Consider the following 23,525-nt stretch of genomic DNA (forward strand, 5'->3'; position numbering starts at 1 on the left):
CCATGATGTGTCCATGTATTCTCATAGTTCAGCTCCCACTTATAAGTGAGTACATGTGATGATTGTTTTTCTGTTCCTGCGTTATTTGCTGAGGTTAATGGCTTCCAGCTCCATCCATGTCCCTGCAAAGGACATGATCTCATTCCTTTTTATGACTGCATAGTATCCCACGGTGTATATGTACCACATTTTCTTTATCCAGTCTATCACTGATGGGCATTTAGGTTCTATGTTGTCCTTTTAAACTGTTCATTGTAACATCTCGAGTATAATAACTTGAAACCTTCCATTTTGCTATTTTTGTATACATCTTTTTATCTGTTAAATCTTATAACTATAAAAGTTTACTTACTACATTATTTTATAAGTACATCAATTTTTGTAACTTTTAATTGACTATTGAAAATAGCATTAATTAGTGCCAGTTACAGATCAATAGTATTAATTAGTGCCAATTGCAGATCATTAAGCTCAACATTATGTGTTGTAAAAATTATGAAAGATCACTGATCATTAGAGAAATGCAAACCCAAACCACAATGAGATACCATCTTATGCCAGTCAGAATGGTGATTATTAAAAAGTCAAGGAACAACAGATGCTGGTGAGGTTGCAGAGAAAAAGGAATGCTTTTACACTGTTGATGGGAATGTAAATTATTAGTTCAACCATTGTGGAAGACAGGGTGGTGATTCCTCAAAGATCTAGAGGCAAAAATACCATTTGACCCAGCAATCCCATTACCAAGTATATCTCCAAAGGAATATAAATTATTCTATTATAAAGATACATGAACATGTATGTTCATTGCAGCACCATTCACAATAGCAAAGACATGGAATCAAACCAAATGCCCATCAATGATAGATAGGATAAAGAAAATGTGGCACATATATGCTATGGTATACTATGCAGCCATGAAAAGGAATGAGATCATGTCCTTTGCAGGGACATGGATGGAGCTGTAAGCCCTTATCCTCAGCAAACTAATGCAGGAACAGAAAAACAAATACTGTGTGTTCCCATTTATAATGGGAGCTGAACAATGAGAATCCATGGACACATGGTGGGAAACAACACACTAGGGCCTGTTGAGGGGGGTAGGGGGAGGGAGAGCATCAGGAAGAATAGCTAATGGATGCTGGGCTTCATACCTAAATGATGGGTTGATCTCTGCAGGAAACCACCATGGCACACATTTACCTATGTAACAAACCTGCACATCCTGCACACGTACCCCAGAACTTAAAAGTTGAAGAAAAAAAATTATCAAAGATGAAAGGGCAGTTATTTTACAGAGATAGAAACTTGAGAGAGTAGATATGCTTTTATTCTTTTTAAAATATTCACTTAAATAGATTCTGATATCTCCTTCCATGTGATTGCAGTTAATGATAGAGTGGGGCTAAGAGAAAAGAAATTAGCAGATGTTAAAAAGAAAATTATTTAGCAACTTATTTTTAAAAAGTAGCTTGTGGCTTATTGGAACACAAAGTATATAATAATGTTTTATGTATATATGTGTGTATATATTAATATATATATACACACATAATCACAATTACTATATATTTCATATATATAGTGTATATATATATATAATGTATATATGTACACATGTATGTGAAATATAGTGATTTTTTTCCAGTAAAAATCTTTTTATTGTGGGAAATCTTTTCTTTATTTTTATTTAAAACATTTTATATTTTAAGTTTTGTGGGTATTAGGTGTATATATTTATGGGGTACATGAGATGTTTTGATATAGGCATGCAATGTGTAATAATCACATCATGTAATATGGGGTGTCCATCTCCTCAAGCATTTATTTGTGTTACAAACAATCCATTATACTCTTTTAGTCATATTAAAATATACAATTAAATTGCTGTTGACTATAGTCTCCCTGTTGTGCTATCAAATACCAGGTCTTATTCATTCTTTTTAAAAATTTCCAACTTTTATTAAGTTCCAGGGTACATGTGCAGGATGTGCAGGTTTGTTACATAGGTAAACATGTACCATGGTGCTTTGCTGCACAGATCATCTCATCACCCAGGTATGAAGCCCAGCATCCATTAGCTATTCTTCCTGATGCTCTCTCTCTGCCGACTCCCTGCCCTCAACAGGCCCCAGTGTGTGTTGTTCCCCATCATGTGTCCATGTGTTCTCATCATTTAGCTCCCAGAAAATTTTCAACATAGACAAAAGTGGAGAGAAAAGTATAATGAAACTCCATGTATTCATTACCCAATCTAAAAAAATTATAAACATATGGCCAATCTAGTTTTATTTATTATCTCTTCATTCCCCACTTTCAACTTCCCAGAACTAATTTTAAACAATTTCTAAAGATGATATGATTCTATTCATAAACACTAGTTATTATTATTATTTAACATAGGGAATATTCATATATATAACAGGTACAAAGTCTATAATATTTAAAGCTCTTTTATGTTCCCATATTAAATGTAAATATTTGTTTAAACTCATGGCTTTCCTTGGTTCATCAAATCAGGTAATAAATTAACCAGGCAGGTTCACATTCAATCAGATAGTATTCTGAATTGCTCCTGGCATCTTCAAAAGATGAGGATTGTTCGGACGCTGTTAATAACAATAAAACATTAATAAGTATAATTTTCATGATAAATTTAACCAAAGCTCACAAATAAGTTTTGCCTTTTCATTTCAGGATCTGGTCTTCCTTTATAGACATTCACTTTATTAAGCCTAATTTCTTTTATCCCGTCATCCTCTTCCATTCATGGTGTTAATAATATTTTATGCATGTGCTAGTAAACTTGGGGGGAATTGAGGACCCTTACTCACCTTAGGCAGCGTCCTTGTTACTCAGTGGTGCTGTTGAGGAGAATTAGAATGTACCAAGGAGGGAGTCAGGTTTTAGTCTTGGAATAGTCACTGTTCTCGGATCTCCTATAGCTGAGGGCAAAGTTGAGCATTGAAGGAGGGAGTGGGCATCAAAGTTGGTGTGTTGGGATGCTACTTTTTAAGAACCCAGATGTTCTTATTTCTGGGTAACTCCAACATGTAGACACAAAGAGGGGGATAAGCCTCAAGGACAGAGCAGTCTTTATCTCAAACATTACTGCTGGAACTGTGGAACCCCTGCTATGAGCAGGGTGCTATGCATAAATGTTTTCTTCACCCAGGACTGGAAGACACCCCTACCTGTAGAAGGAGAATCTCTGTGTCCTTTCCTCACTCTGGGGCAGGATCACTACACCTCAACAGGCTAGTCAGTCATTGTATCCCATCCCCATCCCCCCACTTCCTTGCTTCTTTGCAGTTGGGTGGTAGGAGGGCCTGCCCTCTCTTGTGCTTCCTGTGCCCATATGGTGGACACACCTGATGAGGCCCAACTTCTGCCTTCCTCATTGCCACCTTTCCATCTGTGTGGGCAGTCAGGTGGTATTCTCAGTGGGCCAGAGAAGGAGCAGGAGGCCTCACTCTGGTGTCTACCCCTAGGCTGATTACCAGGGAAGCCTCCTGGGAGAATGTGGGAGACTTGCCCATAAAGCAATGCAGCATTTTCCACCTGGCTGCCACTTAGCATTCCTTATGGATGTATTCCATAATTGAGAATTCTAGGAGAAAAGGTTTGTGTTCGAGGATATGAATAGAAGGGTGTGAGGCTCAAACCCCACTTCAACTTCTATCTCCTAACTTGAGGAGTATTCCTTATGGGGATATTGAAGTTGTATAATACATTGCAGGGCTTATATACTAAGTTTACATGGTGTAGCTTAAAAAATAATGCTTGTATTTTCTTTTTATTGAACTTCCTTCTGATATGTTGTGACTGACACGTTTGCAAATTGGGGAGTTCATGTCAGTGGGGATATTTCCTCAGGTTTCTTCCCCAAGAAGTAGTCTGGGTCCTCACACCATGAAACTATCTTCTTCTTCTGCAACATTTATTCCCTGCTTCAAATCCCAGTTATTTTAATTTTACTTTAGACTTTTCCTCCTCTCTTTTGTTGTATCTTCTCTTTTCATTTCTTCTTGGTCCTGCGTCTCCTCTATGTAACATTGTTCCTAATGTTTTTGACCTTTGTTTCTATTGATCAAGGCTGTGCTTGAACATTTTACCTAGAATCATTGATCCTAGTCTTACTAATCCCCCAACCCCTAAGAATCTTCCAGGTGGAACATTTCTATGCATCAGTTCCTGGGATCCCTGACATGGGAGCACTGTATAACTAAAATAGTGGATCAGAAGGTATCTTAGAGGAACTCCATGACAAAGCAAGAGAATGAGACAGTTGGGGCATCCTTTACATGTCTGATCCCTGCCACAGAGGCATGGTTTTCACCCCATTCTGATTGTGAAGGGTCTGGGGTAGGCACTCTGTGTCAAACTGCAGAACACCACGGTGCTAAACTCAGGGGTACACTCTACTAGAGGGATCTAACATACTACACAGAAACCTCTCTTTCTAGGGAGCAGGCCCAACTGAGTTAATGGTTTGTGAAATGGAAATTGTATCAATTTATGCCACCATTCTATATTGTAACAGTGTACAGATGTGCATTATTGAAATGGAAGGTTTTCCCCTCTGAAATGACCACTATTTAATCTTTTAAGCACATCTAGTACCTGGGATGTGGAAAATGTCAGAAAAAACAAGCTGGTTGCTTCTTAACATCAAAAAGAAGATAGAATCATTGTAAACGTTTTTTAAATCATTCAGTCATCTATTAGTAATGTACCTTTTTCCTTGGTTCATTAGGTCAAATGCCTCACTGATTTTGTCAAAAGGCAGGGTATGGGTCACCAGTGCATCCAGATTGAATTTCTTATTCTTATAGTCAGTGACCAGCTTTGGGATAGAATCTACACTTTTCCAACCTGTAATGTGGACAAAATGCAAAATAAAGACATGGCACTTGACACGAAGTAGTTTAATCAGCATTTGCTGAATGAATGAAATTATTAGGTCAGATTTGGTTTGCTTCAAATAGATTAAACTCCTTCCATCTTTAATTTTCTGTACTTATATCTATTTTAAAATTTTTCTTTATAAGAAAAATTTAAGATTATTTTCCACTCTATATAAGAAATTATCTCAATAAGGTCAATGTTTATTTTTTGTTCCTCCATGTTGGTTCATTCAAATGCAAATTAAATTTCAATTTGCAAATTATAATTACCTTTTTATATAAATTATTTATAAGTCATTAATAGTTTTTATGTAGTATTTGGATATGCTCTAGGGATTCAATGGTTGAATAAATTATTTTTATTTCTTTTCAATAACCTTCACTCTAAGAATTTCAGAACTACTAGGAAAAGAATTTAAAGCTATGAAGAAAAAAAAAACTGACCACCAAAGAATGTTCCATTTATAGTACGGCCGATTATTAGCTCCTCTGGAAAAATAGTCAATCCTTTGCTACCAGCAGCTACTCCAATGAAAGTACATGATCCCCAGCCTGCGGTTGTACAGTCCAGGGCTGCTTTCTGTGATGGAGCATAAAAGAATACTTGAGTCAGTGGAAAAGTAGAATATGAACTCCAGTGTGGCAATGTACAATGCTTTAGAAAAAAATTAATCCAACTCTGCATGTAAGATAATGGGATTCAAGCTAATGACATCATAGTATCATTGTAGATTGAGCCTTGAGGGCCCAGTGTTCCATTACAAATAGAATGTTCAGCACAGTCCGGGTGCAGGTGACTCATTCCTGTAATCCTAGAACTTTGGGTGGCCAAGGTGGGTGGATCACTTGAGGCCAGGAGTTCGAGACCAGCCTGGCCAACATGGCAAAACCCCGTCTCTACTAAAAATACAAAAATTAGCTGGGTGTGGTTGTGCCTGCCTGTAGTCCCAGCTACTCGGGAAGCTGAGACTGGAGAACTGCCTGAACCCGGGAGGAGGAGGAGGTTGCAGTGAGCCGAGACCACACCACTGCACTGCAGCCTGGGTCACAGAGTGAGACTCTGTCTCAAAAAAAAAAAAAATTATTAGTAAAATAAAAATAAAGATGTCTAAAAAATCAGCATACATTTGTGTGTAAGTAAATAAGTTTTATATTTGCCTCTGCTAAATGTTTAAAGTGTCAGGGTTTGGGACAAAGGTTGTGAGACTGTAAACCCAGCCAAATCTATCGTTGTGTGACTTTTTTTTTTTTGACAAATAAGACTAATTTAAAATTGTTAGGTCAATAACAGCAACTGAATCACCTAATTTATCAGCAAAATACCTATGTGTTTAACCTTATGGTTCTTACTTAGGTTTTCACCTAATGTTTAGACTTTAGTTAACAAGGGCCAGGCATGGTGGCTCACGCCTGTAATCCCAGCACTTTGGGAGGCCAAGGCAGGTGGATCACTTGAGATCAGGAGTTCAAGACCAGCCTGGCCAACATGGAGAAACCCCGTCTCTACTAAAAATACAAAAAAGTAGCCAGACATGGCAGCATGTGCCTGTAGTCCCAGCTACTCAGGAGTCTGAGGAAGGAAAATTGCTTGAGCCCAGGAGGTGGAGGTTGCGGTGAGCCAAAATCGTGCCACTGCACTCCACCGGGCGACAGAGTGAGACTCCATCTCAAAAAAAAAGTTAACAAGGAAATAACTTTAAATAATGGCTAGTTCTGCATAATATCTCAGTTATCAAAAGTTATCTAGATAACTATTAAAAATGAAAAAGTATATGTAAATGAAATAAATGCTTATAAGTGGACTTTTTGTGTAATATAAAATCTGAAAATTATTTTAAATTAAATAATAAATGCTGGATATGTGAGTCATTTCCAATTAAAAAATTATGATATAGGAAAACATGTTTCTAAAATTGTGAAATGATTTCATCTATAAAATGCTTACATCTAACAGTTCAGGATTTCTTGCTTTCTAAGTTTTCATGAAAATTTAAGGTTACTAGGAATAAGAATTCTAATTCATATATAAATATATAATTGTATTATCTTTTTTTTGAGGCAGTCTCACTCTGTTGCCCAGGCTACAGTGGAGTGGCGTGATCATAGCTCACTGCAGCCTCAACTTCCTGGGCTTAAGTTATTTTCTCACCTTACCCTCCCAAGTAGCTGGTACTATAGGCGTGTGCCACTACACCTGACTAATTTTCATATTTTTAGTAGAGGTGGGTTTTTGCCATGTTGCCCAGGCTGCTCTCGAACTCCTGGGCTCAAGCAGTCTGCCCACCTCAGCCTTCCAAAGTGCTGGAATTACAGGCATGACCCACTGTGCCTGGCCTGTATTCTTATTAAAGAATAATTTTACATAATTTGGAAATTATTTTAAAGTTATTTACTTAAAAAGATAAAAAAAAGTAAGTAGGGGAGAGAAATGTAAAGTTATAAATATAAAAATGTATTTTTAATAAAAGGGTTATTAAAAAAGAATAATTTCATATAAAAAAGAATCTTATGGTAAAATCTTGTCCTAAAATAAAATGACTTATTATTTAAAAGGAAAAAATTAGGATAAGTCAGAAGTCCAAGCATGTCATAGATCATCTGTGTAAGTCATAATAAGTTTCATGAAGAGGAATTTATAAAAAAATTTTGTATGTGATTAAATTTGCTGTGATTAAAAAAGGATTATTTAGAATAGTCTTTCTAAGATTATTCCCCTATGTTAAAACAAAGTCTCTTTACAGTATTGATTTGCTCTTAATACAATTAAAAGAAACTTAACTTTTAGTTTTATAACCTGTTTCTTTTGAAAACTTCTCAAAATCATATGTCAGTTCACCTTTTGCTATGTCTCCCTGCTTTCAGCTTTGTCTCCCCTTGGACAGAGATAACTCTTTTCTTTAGCTTTTTCATCAGCTATTATAAGTTTTTTTCCTCCAGTTCTAACTATTCTTATGGCCTGATACTAAAATGTTTTATCTTAAAGGTCTAGGAGTGAATGTTTTCCTCCAGTACAACTTGATTCTGTACTCTTGGCTTTTCTTGATATGTTTAAATTTTTCAATGTAACCAGAAAATTTCTCATGCAGTTACTAAGAATTATGTATTCCCCTGCTGTACTCATAATCCTGAACACACTTTTCCCATGTCTGATTAAATTCAAGCACTTTTCCCATCAGGTTTATTGAAATGGGCTTCCCATAAGGAGAAGCAGTCACACTACCAGTTTTTCTTTCCATTTCTGGTAACTGACTTAAGAAACAACATTTTACATTTTATCAAAATAATTCCCATGTTGTCTACATTAGGTTTTTAATTGCTTAAAAAAATAGTGTTAAGGTTTTTACATCCATACATCCTCATGTATTGCCTTTAAAGTCTTTTGATGATTTATTTGGCTAAATAAGTAACTATTGTTTTACAATGACCTGTGGTTCTGTTTTAATCAAATGTTTTGAGGCCTTTAACATTTTTGACAAACACTTTCAAAATTAAATTCTAAATTAAGTCTCTGACTTATTGCTGGGGGTTATCAAAGCTCTAAAAAATTAATCACTGCAAGGTTATAAAATCTTTCTACAGCTTCCAGTCAGGTCATAGACTCCAGTATCACTACATTCAGCTCCTTAAAAGGGTCCTTAGCAGGTGTTAGTAAACAATCCTTGTGCTGGTAAGCTACAGGGTGTTGACCCTTGGTTTAGAGGGTTAGAGGTCATTGGAACCTAGAAACTTTCTATAGAAGCTTTTCCTAGCTATAGAAACTTTTGGTGGGAGAGTAGGTAACTCATCTTTTGGTGATTAAATAAATCTTTCTCTTTCCATTTGGATTCTCTAATATAATTCTGTTCCATAATTGAAAATGACTTTCATGGTATAATAAGTCAGCTTAATAATAGAAGATGCTAACTTTTAGGTCAGTGGTTCTCAACTTGAGAAATTAATTTTTAAAATGTTGTCAGTGGGCTCCCAGCACACAAGAATATCCTGGGTTTGGCCCATTCATTGGTATTAAAAAAGCAACAAAACAACGAAAAACCCCTCAGGAAATTCTAACATATAGCTAGTGTTGAGAATATGTTAATATTAAATATAACAACACATGCACATATTGTTTATTAATTTTAAATATTATATACTGTTAAAGAAAAGATTCTACATTAACAAATGTTAATATTAATAATGTATATAATGCATAAGATAGCTAAACAAAATAGGTGTTTATTCCTATTTATGCATTGCAGTTAATTCATCCCTTTATATCTTTGGCTAAAGAATGCTGTCTAGTTAATGCACTTGTCATTTTATTTGATTTAATAGTCAAAAGGAACATTTCTCTAATTAAAAATGAAAAAACCCCTAAAATTGTCTCCAAGGAATAGGAATTGGAATTATCATAGAAAACAAAATTAGAAAATATTATCTCCAGACAAATAATATTGAGCTTTTTAAAGGGATCTCAAAAGAAAAATCAGCATCTACAAATAATGCTGGTATGGCTTCTTATCACAAGAGAAGACTGAACTCACCAAGATAGTACTGGCATTTGGGGGGACACATTCATGGGCATTGAAGGAAATGGAGTATAGCTGAGGGAATGGGAAATGATTTGTGGCTTATAGTTCTACCACCCTGTCATCCATTTGAAAGTACTAAGTACCATAATAAACATAATCCACTTTCCCCTATTATTTGACAGCCAAAGAATACATTGAAAATATGATCCAAGAACAAAATATACATACCATGGTTTCAGATCCACCTGCACAGTCAAGGGCAAAATCCACACCTCCCTTGGTCAATTCAATGATAACTTCCTGGATCGGTTTATGTAAGTCTCTAGGATTGAGGCAGTCAGTGGCTCCCAGGGCTTTAGCCTTCACAAACTTCTCACTGTTGATGTCAATACCTATGATTCTGGAAGCTCCTGCTGCTTTACAACCCATTACAGCAGAAAGACCCACACCTCCTAGGCCAAAGACAGCACAAGTCGAACCAGGGGTGACCTGCAAGCAGGAAAATTATAAAGTAACTTCTAAAGCAGCCAGTCCCACTTTTTTTCTTTTAAGAGTCAGGAGGAAGTGGGGGCATGAACATATGAATTAAAGACAGCCTGCTATTAAACTCTATGATATAGCCAATGGAGGAAATCTGCCAATGCGAAAATGGATGCATTACTACTTAAATTTGGAGAATTATTTAGTGTTCATTAAGATTATAAGAAACAAACCCAAGTAAAAATAATTCCCTTGTTTTACTTTTTCCCTTCAGTGTTATCTGAACAAAATTTGAAAACCCACACATTCTGAAGGGTTTATTGCTTTCCTTTTAAAATTGGATCACTATTAATTTGACATCTATATTTCGAATAGTCCTCATTTGGTTGTATTAATATTACAGTGATTTACTTGATCACTCCAAATCACCAGTTTGGAATGAAGTCCAATTTGTTTTGCATGGCATGAAAGCATTTTTATTGTCTGACCTCTGTTTACCTTCCAGCTTCATCCCCATGATATTCCCAGTACAAGAACTGCGAACAGATTGTTGCACTTTCTTCTCATGCCGTAGTTGACGCTGCTCCCTCAGACTGATGTACTTTTAACCTTATTTTCTTTAATTAAAGTATAACCTATACTCCTAGGCCTGACTTCCAAGACATTCTGTCTATGAAACTTTTCTTGATTTTTCAATCAGAAATCAATGCCTGTCTTTTTGCTTTTCTTTTATTATATAATTTATAACCTGCCTTGATTGTGGGTGTATGGTGTGTTTCTTTAAAAGACCGTAAATTTTATGAAGGCAGAAACTTTTTAAATTCCATATTATTATGAAAGAGTCTTCTGTATATTGAGTCTTTAATAAATATTTGTTTCATTGCATTAAATGGAAATAATAGATAAGATGGTAAGAAAAGATGCTGTAACTGGAATATGTTATTCTACAGACTATTATAGCGATAGAAAAATACTACATAGAGAAATACTTAATATTTCCTAATGAGGATGCAAAGCTGTTAGGATTAAAACATAAACAAAAGGAAAAGAGAAAATCTGCTCAAGGTAAGTATTAATACATTCTAAATTGGAAACAAAATTACTAAGCAACAGGTAAACTGCAATATTTTCCTTATTTACTATAATATTAGGTATACACACCTCTGGCTTTTGCTACTCAGAGGAAATAATAAATATGTATATATATTGCAAATAGTAAGAATATTGTTCTTATGATGGCTTCTTTACTATAATGTTGTGGCATGTGTTCAGTATGATTCTTAATATATTGCTCCAGAGTCTCAGTTAAAAGGAGCCTGTGAGTCTCTTAGGAAGTGGAAATGCATTTTTCCCATTGCAGCAATGTAACTAGTAGTTGGATTCTCAGGCTAGCTCACAACAGTGTATAAATATAATATGCTGCATTACTTGTATTATACAACTGGACCCCTGTGTGTAAAAGTGCCTTTGTTTGCAGAACTTAGGTGGGGTCACTATAAATTGCCCCCACAATTTGCAAGTGAGTCTACACACAGTAGATGATTATCTATCTGCAAGTACCACTGTTAGAGGACATTTCCACACTTCCAAAGGTCTCTGTGTAATGTTGTTTAATTGGCAGTAAAGGATACAAGCACATCAAAAAGAAAGAGGGGTTCTGGTGATGTTGGTGTGTTCTCAATAATTATACAGAGAAGTTGCTTCACTTTTCTTCCCAGAAGTAAGTTAAATTTTACTAAAGCTCTTGCCTTTTGGGCAGAATTACTGATACTTCACTTTCCTTAATTTCTTCCTATCAGATTCATTTCTCTCTGAGGATCTCATGAGGTGGCTTAGCAGCTAGAATCTCTTCCTTAACAGTGGGAAGAACAACTCCTGGAAATTTAGGTCGACTTTGACTGGATTTAAAAGAAAGCTGTACAATTCCACTTCTGTATATACAACCAAAGGAAATGAGATGTGCATACCCATGTTCAATGAAGCATTATTCACAATAGCCAAAATGTGGAACCAATCCTTAAACAAAAGGAAAACAGAAAATCTGCTCAAGGTAAGTTTAATACATTCTAAATTGGAAACAAAATTACTAAGCAACAGGTAAACTGCAATGTTTTCCTTATTTATCAATAATATTAGGTATGCACACCTCTGGCTTTTGCTCCACAAATAGATGAATAGATAAGAAAAATATGATATGTATATACACAATGGAGTACTAATTATGCTTTTAAAAAAATGAAAATCCTGTTATGGTGAAAACATGGATAAACCTGGAGGACATTATGTCAGGTGAAATAAGCCAGGCACAGAAAGACAGATACTGCATGATCTCACTTATATGTGGAAAAGACAAGCTCACAGAAGCAGAGACTAGGATGGTGGTTACCAGAGTCTGGGGGGATAAATGACGAATAGGAGGATGTTGGTCAAAGGTTACAAAATTTCGGATAGAGTGGAGGAATAATTTCTGGAATTTCATTGTACGCTCTGGTGACTATAATTAATAATAATGTATTGTATATCTGAAAATTGCTAAGATAGTAGATTTTTAATGTTCTCTCCACAAAAAGATAAGTATATGAAGTGATGGATACATTATTAGCTTGATTTAATTATTCTACAGTGTATATATATATCAAAACGTTAATTGCACTTCATAAATGTATAAATTTTTTTCAATTAAAAATAAATAAGTAATTAAAAAAGAAAGCTGTAGCTGAACCTCTAGTGCTGATGGCCCTTAAAAGGACTGGAGTAGTAGAAGAGGATGGACTGCATGGAGCCCAGCAAAGGAAGACTTGAAGAGTGATACTTCTTCCCTAAGTCTCTAGCGCCATACAGCAGAAAATAGGCTTTGACTGCCATGTGCACATCTGCTGTCAACTCCACCCAGCTACTAGTACCCTTCTCTGATTGTAGTTTGGTTTCTAACACAATTTTTTAAATTTTTTATTAATGAGTAATTGTGTGCGTAAATACATTTTTAAAGGGAGATAACATGTTGATAGCAAAGGGTAGCATTTTTGTCTATGTGGCAGATAAAATTCTCAATGAAGAGTCATACTTTGGTATCTTGGCTACTAGATCAACCTCTTATTGTGGTGAGGCTGACTTTGTTTCCTTGACACTGAACAACTCTAGGTAACCTGATAAGAAGGACTTTCTGGATTACAAAGCCGAGGACCAGGCCTCACCAGGATGTTTTATGCACCTGGTTTTATTTATTCATTCGTTGAAAAATTATCAAGCTCCTGTTATGTGCCAGGGACAATTCCAGGCTCTGGAGCTATCACAATGAACAACAGAGAGTTCTTGCCCTCAAGGAACAAATAGTACAATAGGACAAAAAAATAAATGGGAGATTTCTCTATAGTGTGATAAGAATGAAGACAGAGGCTGGTGGTGGCTGATGCCTGTAATCCTAGCACTTTGGGAGGTCGAAGTGGGAGGACTGCTTGAGCCTAGGAGTTCAAGACCAGCCTGGGCGACATAGGGAGACCCTGTCTCTATAAAAAATTAAAAAAATAGCCAGGCATCGTGGTGCATGCCTGTAATCCCAGCTACTTGGAGGGCTGAAGTGGGAAGTTCACTTGAGCCCAGGAGGTCAAGGCTGCAGTAAGCAATGATCATGCCACTGCATTTTAGCATGGGCAACAGAGTGAGACCCTGTCTCAAAAAAGAAAAAAATTTGGGGTGAAAACTGGGAGGGATACCCAAAGCATGGCTGAGAGCCTGAAGTAGATCTCTGAGAGGAAGTGATAAGTGGAGTCAGCCTGAAGGAGGTAGGGCAGTCTTCTCTGCATTGTTGCTGGAAGCCAAGTGTGGAAAGCCCAGAGACCACAGTGACTGAAGCCTGGAGACTCAGAGTGGAGCCAAGGGAACAGTGAGTGCACAGTGGAAAGGGAGAAGTAGGAAGTCACTGTAGCCTACTGAGGAATTTGAGCTCACCCTGAGGGAAAAATGAAATAATGCAGGAAAAATAAAATCTTCAGACTTGTTGTTTGAAAGACCACTCTGGCTGCATTTTGCGGTTTTGAGTCAGGAATAAAGATCGATGTCAGGGAGGTTCAGATAAGCAGGTTGAGATGTCCAATTGTGAGATCCCTCTTTGATGTCTCTCTAGTTCTAGATCAGATGCTTTGTAAGAGTTTCTAAATTCTAACATGGGATTCCAGGGACACATCTGGTCAACATTACGGCTGCTACCAGAGACCCTCCTTTGAAGCCACAAAGGGACATGATGAGTAGCAGAAATGAATTACTACTGATGGAGGGAGATAAATCTGTAGCAACAGGGAGAAGACAGGGGTGGTTGTGTGAAGATGGAAGTGAGTTTCTGTCATTTTTGTTGCCCTTTGACTGAGTCAGCTGTCCTAGGATGAGCATTCATCCTTAGGAGACATATTTAAACAGGCTGTATTTAAATCAGGGAAGATCTATAACCTAATATGTTAGTATAGTATAAGAACATATGCTGGGTCAATTATATGTAGGCTACTGGGCCAGATGTTTTACATATATAATATTATTCAATTATCCTCATAAGTATTTGTAGTAGATATTATTCTAGAGGGATTAAATAACTTGCTTAAAATCACAGAGGTAATAAATGACACAGCCACAGTTTGAAGATAACTAACTCTAGTTCATCTGTATCACACTGCCTCCTAGTAACTTCTGTTTTACACAAACTGGTGTTTAACCATTTACCTTGGCATTGTTGATTGCAGCCCCATAGCCAGTTGAAAACCCACATCCAAGCAGACAAACTCTCTCTAAATTTGCATCATCATCTATTTTGGCAAGATTGATATCTGACACCACAGTGTACTGAGAGAATGTACTGGTTCCAAAGAAATGGTAAACTGGTTTTCCTTTGCAGGTAAACCTGCTGGTTTTGTCTTCCATTAGTTGTTGATCACTAGCAGGACTTTTGAGATTACTAGAAAATTAAAAAAAAGAGTGATACAAATAAAGAGAAGTTATAATAAATGGAACACTGATCATTTTCCTACAAAATATGTTGAGCATTATATATTTTTGATGACAATTTACAAGACAGAAAAATTAGGGAAACAACAAGACTTTTCACAAAATATAGTTTGTTGAATAACAGCAAATTTAAAAAATAACAGCAACAATTTTTTAAAAAGTGACAGGGTGTCATTTCGTCACTCAGGCTGGAGTGCAGGGAACAATTTTTTTTTTTTTAGACGGAGTTTTTGCTCTTGTTGCCTAGGCTGGACTGCAGTGGCACAATCTCCGTTCACCGCAACCTCCGCCTTCCGAGTTCAAGCGATTTTCCTGCCTCAGCCTCCCGAGTAGCTGGGATTATAGGCATGCACCACTACGCCTGGCTAATTTTGTATTATTATTATTATTTTTTTTTTGAGACGGAGTCTTGCTCTGTCGCCCAGGCTGGAGTGCAGTGGCGCGATCTCAGCTCAATGCAACCTCCGCCTCCTGGGTTCAAGGAACTCTCCTGCCTCAGCCTCCCGAGTAGCTGGGACTACAGGCACGCACCACCAGGCCCGGCTAATTTTTGTATTTTTAGTAGAGATGAGCTTTCATCGTGTTGGCCAGGCTGGTCTCGAACTCCTGACTTCGCTATCCACCCGCCTCAGCCTCCCAAAGTGCTGGGATTATAGGTGTGAGCCACCTCGCCTGGCCCTAATTTTGTATTTTTAGTAGAGACGGGGTTTCTCCGTGTTGGTCAGGCTGGTCTCGAACTCCTGACCTCAGGTGATCTGCCAGCTTTGGCCTCCCAATGTGCTGGGATTACAGGCATGACCCACCGCACCCGGCCAGGGAACAAACTTTCATTGAATGCTTTTGTGTACCAGAAATGCTTTTAAGGGCTTTACATGTATTAACTCTTAAAACATTTTTGTTGTGGAAAATTTGAACATGTATAAAAGTAGAAGGAATAGCATAATGAACCCTTATGTGTCCATGTCCCAGCTCCAGTAACCATCAATTCATGGCCAGTCAGGTTTCATCTATTATTCCTCCACAATATCTGCTCCCTCCCCCACATTGGAATATTTTGAAGCAAATCCCAGATATCACGATTTCATCTGTAAAAACATTACCATATATCTCTAAAGGATTACTTTAGGTCCACATTTTTGTTGTCTCTTAATTATCTTAAATTATAGATCCCTTCTCCCTCTCTTTTTCCCCTTGCAATTTATTTGTTGAAGAAATTGAATCATTTGTCCTATAGAGTTTTTCTCATTCTGAATTTTGCTCATAACATTCCTGTAATCTGGTTGAACATATTTCTCTATCCCTGCATCCCCTCATAAATTAGTATTTTTGATCTAAACACTTGATCTGATTCAGATTTTATATTTTTGTGGTAATACTTTATAGGTGGTATCGTATATTTCATTTGGAATATCTGATTATCTCTTTTTATAACATTTATTAGAAAGAATTTATTGGTATTGCCTAAATCCATTATTTCATTAAAGCTTTGCAAAAAAAATTAGTTCTTTGAATATCTAGAACAAGTCTATGAAGCAGGCATTATTTTGCTCCTCATTTTATAGATGAAAAAATTGAGGCACAGTAATAGATGTAAGAGTAGTACAATTTTAGCTTCTTAAATAACTGCTTTCAATTAGTGTTAAGGATGAAAGGATCCTTCTGTAGTCTAGTAAAGCAAAAACAAGATGATTAAGATTTTAGACTCCAGAGCCATACTGCCGGGGTTAAAAACCTGGCTCTAAGACTTATAACTATGTTGCCTTGGAGTAAATTACTTTACTGTGCCTTATTGTATCCCTCTCTCATCCCTGTAGAAGTAGCTATTATTCTGAATTTGGCATTTATTATTTCAGTGATTTGTTTATGCTTTTACTACATATACAAATAACCATAAGAAAGTATAGTATTGTTTTTGTATATGACACTTTACTAAATATTCCTTCAGCAATTTGCTTATTTCCCTTAACATTATGTGTGTGAGATTATTTTATGTTAATACATGCAGCTCAAGTTTAGCCATTTTTATTGTTGTGTAGTAGTCCATTGTGCTACTACATAGCAGTTTTAAAATTCATTCTCTTTCTGATGGACATTTGTGCTGTTTTAAATTGCTTACTCTAATAAACAGTGTTACAAAGAACATTCCAGCACATGTTTCTTTGTGTGCACTTGCAATAGTATCTTGTACACACCTAGGATTAGAATTAGTGGGTGGAAGGTTTGCACCTCTTCAAGGCCATTTAGGTAATGTCAATATGCTTTCCAAAATATTCATTCAAATTTATACTAATACTAACAGTGTAGAGTGCTTACCTGATTTTCCCACACAAATTTGTGAGTGGACTCAGACAAAACTTGCATTTTCTACATAGAGGTGCATAAAGTGGAATTACTTTGTCACCTAGAAAGAAAGGCCATATGTTGGATGGTGCCTAAGGTGTTACTTATAGCTTCTACCAGATAAATCAGTGGAAAACACCTTTTCTTTATAGTATACATTTTATATTCAGTGGAAAGTATAGGTGGCTACAGTATTTCATTACCTTACAAGACTGCAGATTCCCCAACGTATTGCATATATTGTATTTTTTAAAAAATTACTCTGCTAGGCAGTCCAGCAACAAATCTATGTTGATATCATCAGATACAGAACTCTGGGACTTTGCTGTCATTGTGACTCTCTGCATCATGACTATTGTTTATTACATTTCCAAACACCATGTACGAAACATAACATCCTTAGATAATAGGAGAGGTAAACAATTATAGGCTAGGTATAAACTTTATATCATTGCTATGTTTCACCTTTAGATTCACTTTCAAATTCCACATTTTTCCACTTTTTAATAAATTCCAATTTAATAGTGACTTCTGTGCTTCGATGCCTGAGGTCTAATGATGATAATTCACATTCATTCAACATTTAATACATACCACGCACCATTATAACTACTTACATGTATTATTTCAGAACTTAATTCTCAGAGCAACTCTTTGAGACGAGCCCTATTTTTATTCACACTATAGAAAACAGAAATCTGAGCTGAATCACAGAAAAGTGACATAACTGGCCAAGATCACATAGCCAGTAAGTGGCAGAGCTGGGGCTAAAGGGATTATATTGGCCAGACTCCTTCATTGACACAAAATTTTGGGAAGCAATTTGTTTGTACAATCTTTTTTGGAATGGAAAGATACTAATATACCTCTAACTTTGGAGCATTCTCATTAAAAGAGAAAAGAGTGGCACGGTTCATCTGGCCTGCCAAATGAGGATTACATAGCCCATATTCCAGTATCTGGAGGATCTGTTGTAAAATGTGGAGTAAATAATTTCAGCTATTGGGGTGCTTCATTTAGGTATTATCTTTATCTTACAAACTTCCAAAAAAACACTTCAGCTAACGTTGACATATATATAATATTTCTCACTAAAGCTACCTCTAAGTCCTCATTCTTTACATAGTTTGCTGTTAATATTAAAATAGTTTGCTTTTTTATATAGAAGTTATTATAACATGTCATTTAAAAACCTTTTATTTTACACCAGGTGCAGTGGCTCACATCTGTAATCCCAGTGCTTTGGGAGGCTGAGGTAGGCAGATCACCTGAGGTTGGGAGTTCAAGAGCAGCCTGGCCAACATGGTGAAACCCTGTCTCTACTAAAAATACAAAAATTAGCCAGATGTGATGGCTCATGCCTGTAATCCCAGCTACTCTGGAGGCTGAGGCACAAGATTTGTGTGAACTTGGGAGGTGCAGGTTGCAGTGAGCCAAGATCGTGCCACAGCACTCCAGCCTGGCACAGAGTGAGACTCTGTTTCGAACAAAAAAAAAAGTCTGGGCAAGGTGGCTCATGCCTGTAATCCCAGCACTTTGGGAGGCCGAGGTGGGTGGATCACCTGAGGTCAGTAGTTCGAGACCAGCCTAGCCAACATGGTGAAAACCCGTCTCTACTGAAAATACAAAATTAGCCGGGTGTGGTGGCACATGCCTGTAATCCCAGCTACTCGGGAGGCTGAAGCAGGATAATTGCTTGAACCCAGGAGGCGGAGGTTGCAGTGAGCTGAGATCGTGCCACTACACTCCAGCCTGGGTGACAGAGCAAGGCTCCATCTCAAAAAAAAAAAAAAAAGGAAAAACAACACCTTTAATTTTAGATTTAAGGGTACATGTGCAGGTTTGCTATATAAGTAAACTTGTGTCACGGAAGTTTGGTGTACAGATAATTTTGTCACCCAGGTACTAAACATAGTACCCGATAGTTATTTTTCTGAGCCTCTCCTCCCTCCATCCTTCATCCTTAAGTAGGACCCAGTGTGCCTGTCATTGCCCCATTTGTGTCCATGTGTTCTCATTATTTAGCTCCTACTTATAAGTAAGAACATTCAGTATTTGGTTTTCTGTTCCTACAATAGTTTGCTAAGGATAATGGCTGACAGCTTCATCCATATTTCTGCAAAGGACATGATCTTGTTCTTTTATAAGGTGTCATTTGTTAAACATGGAAGTTTCAGTTAGAGCTAACCTCATAACTTTGCTTCATGGGACAGTTTCTCAGTGCTATGTGTAAATAAAGTGACCACATTTCCTAGATTTTATTAGACAATTCTGATTTCAAATATTCTGTCCTATTGCTAGACTGTGATAAATTGTGTCTCTCGTTTTACTTTGGAAAAGATGGTCCCCTTTTGTAAATAGAGATCAATTATAGCATGCCAAGCCAGGACTCTATCAATAATTATCTCTGAAATATTGTGACATTTCCATTTTTTCTGAATAAAATAAAATACCTGGTTTGACGTTGGTCACTCCTGGCCCAATACTTTCCACAATACCTGCAGCCTCATGGCCAACGATCACTGGGAAAGCTAGGCCCTCAAATTTAGAATCGATAACAGTGGCATCAGTATGGCACAGAGAGGTAGCAATGATCTACAAGGCAATCACAGACTTTAATTGTGTTTCTGCAACTATATTATTGGGCTGGATGTTACATATAAGATTAGGCTTGATATCATTTTAAAACTTTATAAGACTTCTAGAACTCAATAAAAGAATCACCTTTTGAAAAAAGAACCAATAAAAATATACTGGGTTAGATTATTTTCCTCTTATAATGCATCTTTGTTTTCTACCTTTTGCTGTTGTCAGAAAATCATAAAAGAGATAGGATTGGCAATTATTGCCTCCAGGAGAGGAAAAAATCAAAGGTAATAGGGCTTATTGAAATGAAGTTGAGGTAATACACCTTTTACAGTTGAGAGAACAATATCAAATCAAGGATTGTCTGAATTAATTACCAATGTATACCTATATTCTTCTTTAAGGTTCTGTCAGTGAGAATGTCCCATTCACTCTCATGTACAGACTCTTAATGTGGGGGTCCTCAAGGAAAATATAAGCCTGGTCAGCTTGGGAAAAATGGGGAAATTGTCCAAACTTGCCATCAGTGATCTCACTCCATTCCATGCACTCTCTTCTCCCTGTGACCTACTCCTGTCCCTTCCTCTGGATACCCAGGACCCTTCGGCTGCCTAGGGCAGCACGTCAGGTTTTTTCTTCTGTCTTGTTTTCGATCAAATTGTCTATCTTCCTTTTAATAACACTTTCAAATAATTAGCAATTGGAAAGCAAAAAGAAAACCTAACTAATTCAAATCCAAAGTGAATTCCTTTGTCTGATTCTTAGGGTAAATGATTAATGTTAAGATCAATTAAATTTTAAGCCCATTATTTGAAAATTACTAAAATAATGGATGATTTATTCCTTTTTGGGATAATGCCTGTTTTTGACTGAATCTAAAAATACAGCTTCCCTGTACTAGAAACTCCAAGGCCTCTGAATCATAGCACAGAGGATTGACCTGACAGAAGCCAGGTCTCCACTTGGGGCCCTGTCTGTTCCCACCCAAGGAAAGTCTCCACTTACCTGAATGCGAACTTCATGAGCCTTGGGGGGAGCTACTTCAACCTCTTCAATGCAAAGGGGCTTGCCTGCTTCCCAGGCGATGGCTGCTTTGCATTTAATAACCTGAAAGAGAGAAAGAAAAGGAAGAGGGAGATAGAGATAGAGATTTTGACAGGGTTGGGGGTAGGAGAGAGGAGATCATGAGAAAAAATTAGAATATATTGATACTGTAATTTCATGACAAAGAGTTAAAGAGTTTGTAGCTGGATCTTATAGATATTATTTTAAAGACAAGGGATCTTAAAGAAAAATAAGAAGTTAAATTCTACATTATAGTCATTACATTTTTTATTTCTTGAAAAAAAAACAGGTGTATTAAAGTTTACCTTGATATAATGTCTCAAGTTTTTCCCTCTATAACAGAGAGAATAGATTTATGGAGTTTGAATAAGGTAGATGGCCTATAAAAATCTATTGAGTGAACTGTTTGAAATCACCTCTGAATTACCTGAGTCAGATAATTGCTGGAGAATAGATGTGTTTTACATCTCTGCAACTCGAAGTGTGGTCCTCGGACAAGCATTTATTCACATCACTTGGGAATTTGTTAGAGATGAAAGCCCTGCCTCAAATCCACTAAATCAAAATCTGCATTTGAACAATATCCCCAGAGAATTCATTAAAAGTCTGAGAAATGAGGCTTACATCATTATTAAATTTATCTGTAGGATATAAATTAAATAAAAATTTCATCTAATTGTAAGAATTTGGGTAAAGATGAATGAACAGAAATTAAATATTTAGGATTCTATAACCCCAATTTTTTCTAGCCTCAAATTATATTTTTAATTTCAAATATAAGCAACATTGAAAGAAAGTAGAAAGAAACAAACCTATAATCTTCTGTTCTAACACTACTATGCTTACATTTGGTATACTTTTCCCAAAGTCTTTGACCACATTAATGTATATTTTTCAATAGTTACATAATTTTGAATTATGTTTTTGAATATTATTTATTTTGTTTCAAATGAAGTATATATTAATTAACAGGAAGTTTCAAAATGCCAAGGCCTATCAAGTTTTTAAAGACAAAAAATAGAATAAGATTCATCTGTAAGCTCATCACCCACTTTATGCTTTTGATGCAGATTCTTCGAGTATCCCCAAATAAGATACATTGTCCATAGTATTTTGTAATATACTTTTTCTACTATTAATATACTGTGAACATTTTCCCATATTCTCCTGCAACATTATTTGTAACATATGCATATTATATTTTATGGTTACAGCACAGTTACTTAAATCTCTCTTCTTTTGGCCATTTAAATAATATTAATATTAACTGAACACCCTTCTAATAAACATTTTGGCAATCCACAGTTAATTTCCCTAGAATAAATTCCTGGCATAGGGGTCACTCATATCCTTTTGATCAACTGTAAGTCACTGCTTCCTGAGTTCCTGAAGGAAGCTCCTTTTAGCCAAACATACAAGGACACAGAAAAGCACAAACTGAACAAAGATACAGCTTACTTGCTTACTTTGCCCTTGGTGCCCATTTTTCTTTGGGAAACTGTGTTGGAAGTTTCTTTCTGAGTTAAGAAAGCTTCAAACTCCTACCCAGGGAGTTCCGTGTCCTATAATGAGCTGTCTTTGAATAAATACCATTCATGTTGCTTAATTCTCCAATCACTTCCTTTTCTCCTTTGTTGCTGTAATTCACAGCCCTGCCGGCCTCTTACCACATCATTTGTACTATTGGACTTCAGCTGCAAACCTCATTGCTCCCAGTGAGCTCCAAGATTTTTTAAATTCTTTTTTCTTTTATTGAAAAATATAAAATAATAGAGAAAAGCCCATTAAACATATAAAGATGAATTAACAAATAATTATGAAGTAAAGGAAATTTCTACTCCTCAGAATCGCCCATTTAACTTACCTGTTCTTCTCCTTCACAACCCTGATAATCACTTCCTTGCATATTTAGTGGTTTACTACCTATTTAAGCTTCTCTATCCAATAGTTTAATCTAGCAAAGCCTTTTTATGAATGGAATCATAGTGTATGTATTGTTTCATGTCTTTTTTCTCCCCTCTACTCTATGTGAGAATCATTCACATTGCCTGTGGCTGTAGCTTATTTTCATTACTCTAGAATATTCCAGTGTATGAATTGAACATAATTTATTCATCCATTTTCCTTTTTGCTGTTTTTTTTCCTCTTTGCTTATGATGAATTAGTGGTTACATACAAATTCTTTTCATGTACTTGGTTGCACATATGCTTGAGTTGCCTTAAAGAAAATTCAGAGCTGATATTCAGCCAGTACCCACTATGAAGGCCATGCCAATTATCAAAATATTGAAGTATTTTTATTCAGCTTGGTAAAAAGTCACTATCCCAAATCCCCAAGTTCCCCTTCAACTCTGTTGCAGCCCTGGGGGCCCCTATTTAGTCACTGCTAAGGAGCTACTCTTTTTGTCCCACCTGATGTGTGAGTCCATCAACCAGCCCTGATGGTTCTGGGTCTCTGGCTGTCCCCCTAAAACAGAGTAGTCCCTGGAACCCCAGTAGATAAATACCTAGTGTCCATCTGACCTCCTGTGGCTGTGGCCTCCAGTGCTGTGGGTCAGAACTCCCCTGGAGTCACATGTATATGGCCATTTGTGAGAAATGGAGTTTCCTTTCTGTACTGGTTGTTAAATATTTTTTGACTAGG

The 23,525-nt window shown here is 36.6% G+C and overlaps 1 protein-coding gene and 1 long non-coding RNA gene across 4 annotated transcripts in view, besides 3 other annotated features; one reads left to right on the forward strand and one right to left on the reverse strand.

Annotated features, from left to right (window-relative positions):
• The window catches only part of LOC100507053 (uncharacterized), a 212,500-nt gene that overhangs the window by 33,001 nt on the left and 155,974 nt on the right, over nucleotides 1-23,525 (forward strand). Inside the window, exon 2 of the long non-coding RNA NR_037884.1 lies at nucleotides 11,698-11,948. This is a non-coding gene — a long non-coding RNA (uncharacterized LOC100507053). The remainder of the gene's footprint in view (nucleotides 1-11,697; nucleotides 11,949-23,525) is intronic.
• Nucleotides 1,801-22,440, reverse strand: ADH4 (alcohol dehydrogenase 4 (class II), pi polypeptide). 3 transcript variants are annotated; one of them, NM_001306172.2, is made up of 10 exons: nucleotides 22,348-22,440; nucleotides 21,309-21,448; nucleotides 20,822-20,923; nucleotides 19,684-19,825; nucleotides 17,204-17,291; nucleotides 14,609-14,840; nucleotides 9,647-9,907; nucleotides 5,352-5,487; nucleotides 4,737-4,875; nucleotides 1,801-2,609 (listed from the first exon to the last, which is right to left on the reverse strand). In NM_001306172.2, exons 2-10 carry the CDS (start codon nucleotides 21,381-21,383, stop codon nucleotides 2,585-2,587), a joined length of 1,200 nt encoding a protein of 399 aa, NP_001293101.1. In that variant the 5' UTR covers nucleotides 21,384-21,448; nucleotides 22,348-22,440; the 3' UTR covers nucleotides 1,801-2,584. The 3 variants fall into 3 exon arrangements, with proteins under 3 accessions (NP_001293101.1, NP_001293100.1, NP_000661.2); NM_001306171.2 differs by having other exon boundaries at nucleotides 22,340-22,440; NM_000670.5 differs by lacking the exon at nucleotides 21,309-21,448.
• Nucleotides 22,412-22,734: a promoter, noted in NCBI's record as "-308/+17 promoter". NCBI's record gives the evidence for it as "EXISTENCE:reporter gene assay evidence [ECO:0000049][PMID:9570155]".
• Nucleotides 22,470-22,492: a protein binding site, noted in NCBI's record as "C/EBP footprint region 2". NCBI's record gives the evidence for it as "EXISTENCE:protein binding evidence [ECO:0000024][PMID:9570155]".
• Nucleotides 22,537-22,563: a protein binding site, noted in NCBI's record as "C/EBP footprint region 4; binding inhibited by methylation". NCBI's record gives the evidence for it as "EXISTENCE:protein binding evidence [ECO:0000024][PMID:9570155]".

This window comes from Homo sapiens, chromosome 4 (assembly GCF_000001405.40).
Source record: "Homo sapiens chromosome 4, GRCh38.p14 Primary Assembly".
Classification (NCBI taxonomy): domain Eukaryota; kingdom Metazoa; phylum Chordata; class Mammalia; order Primates; family Hominidae; genus Homo; species Homo sapiens.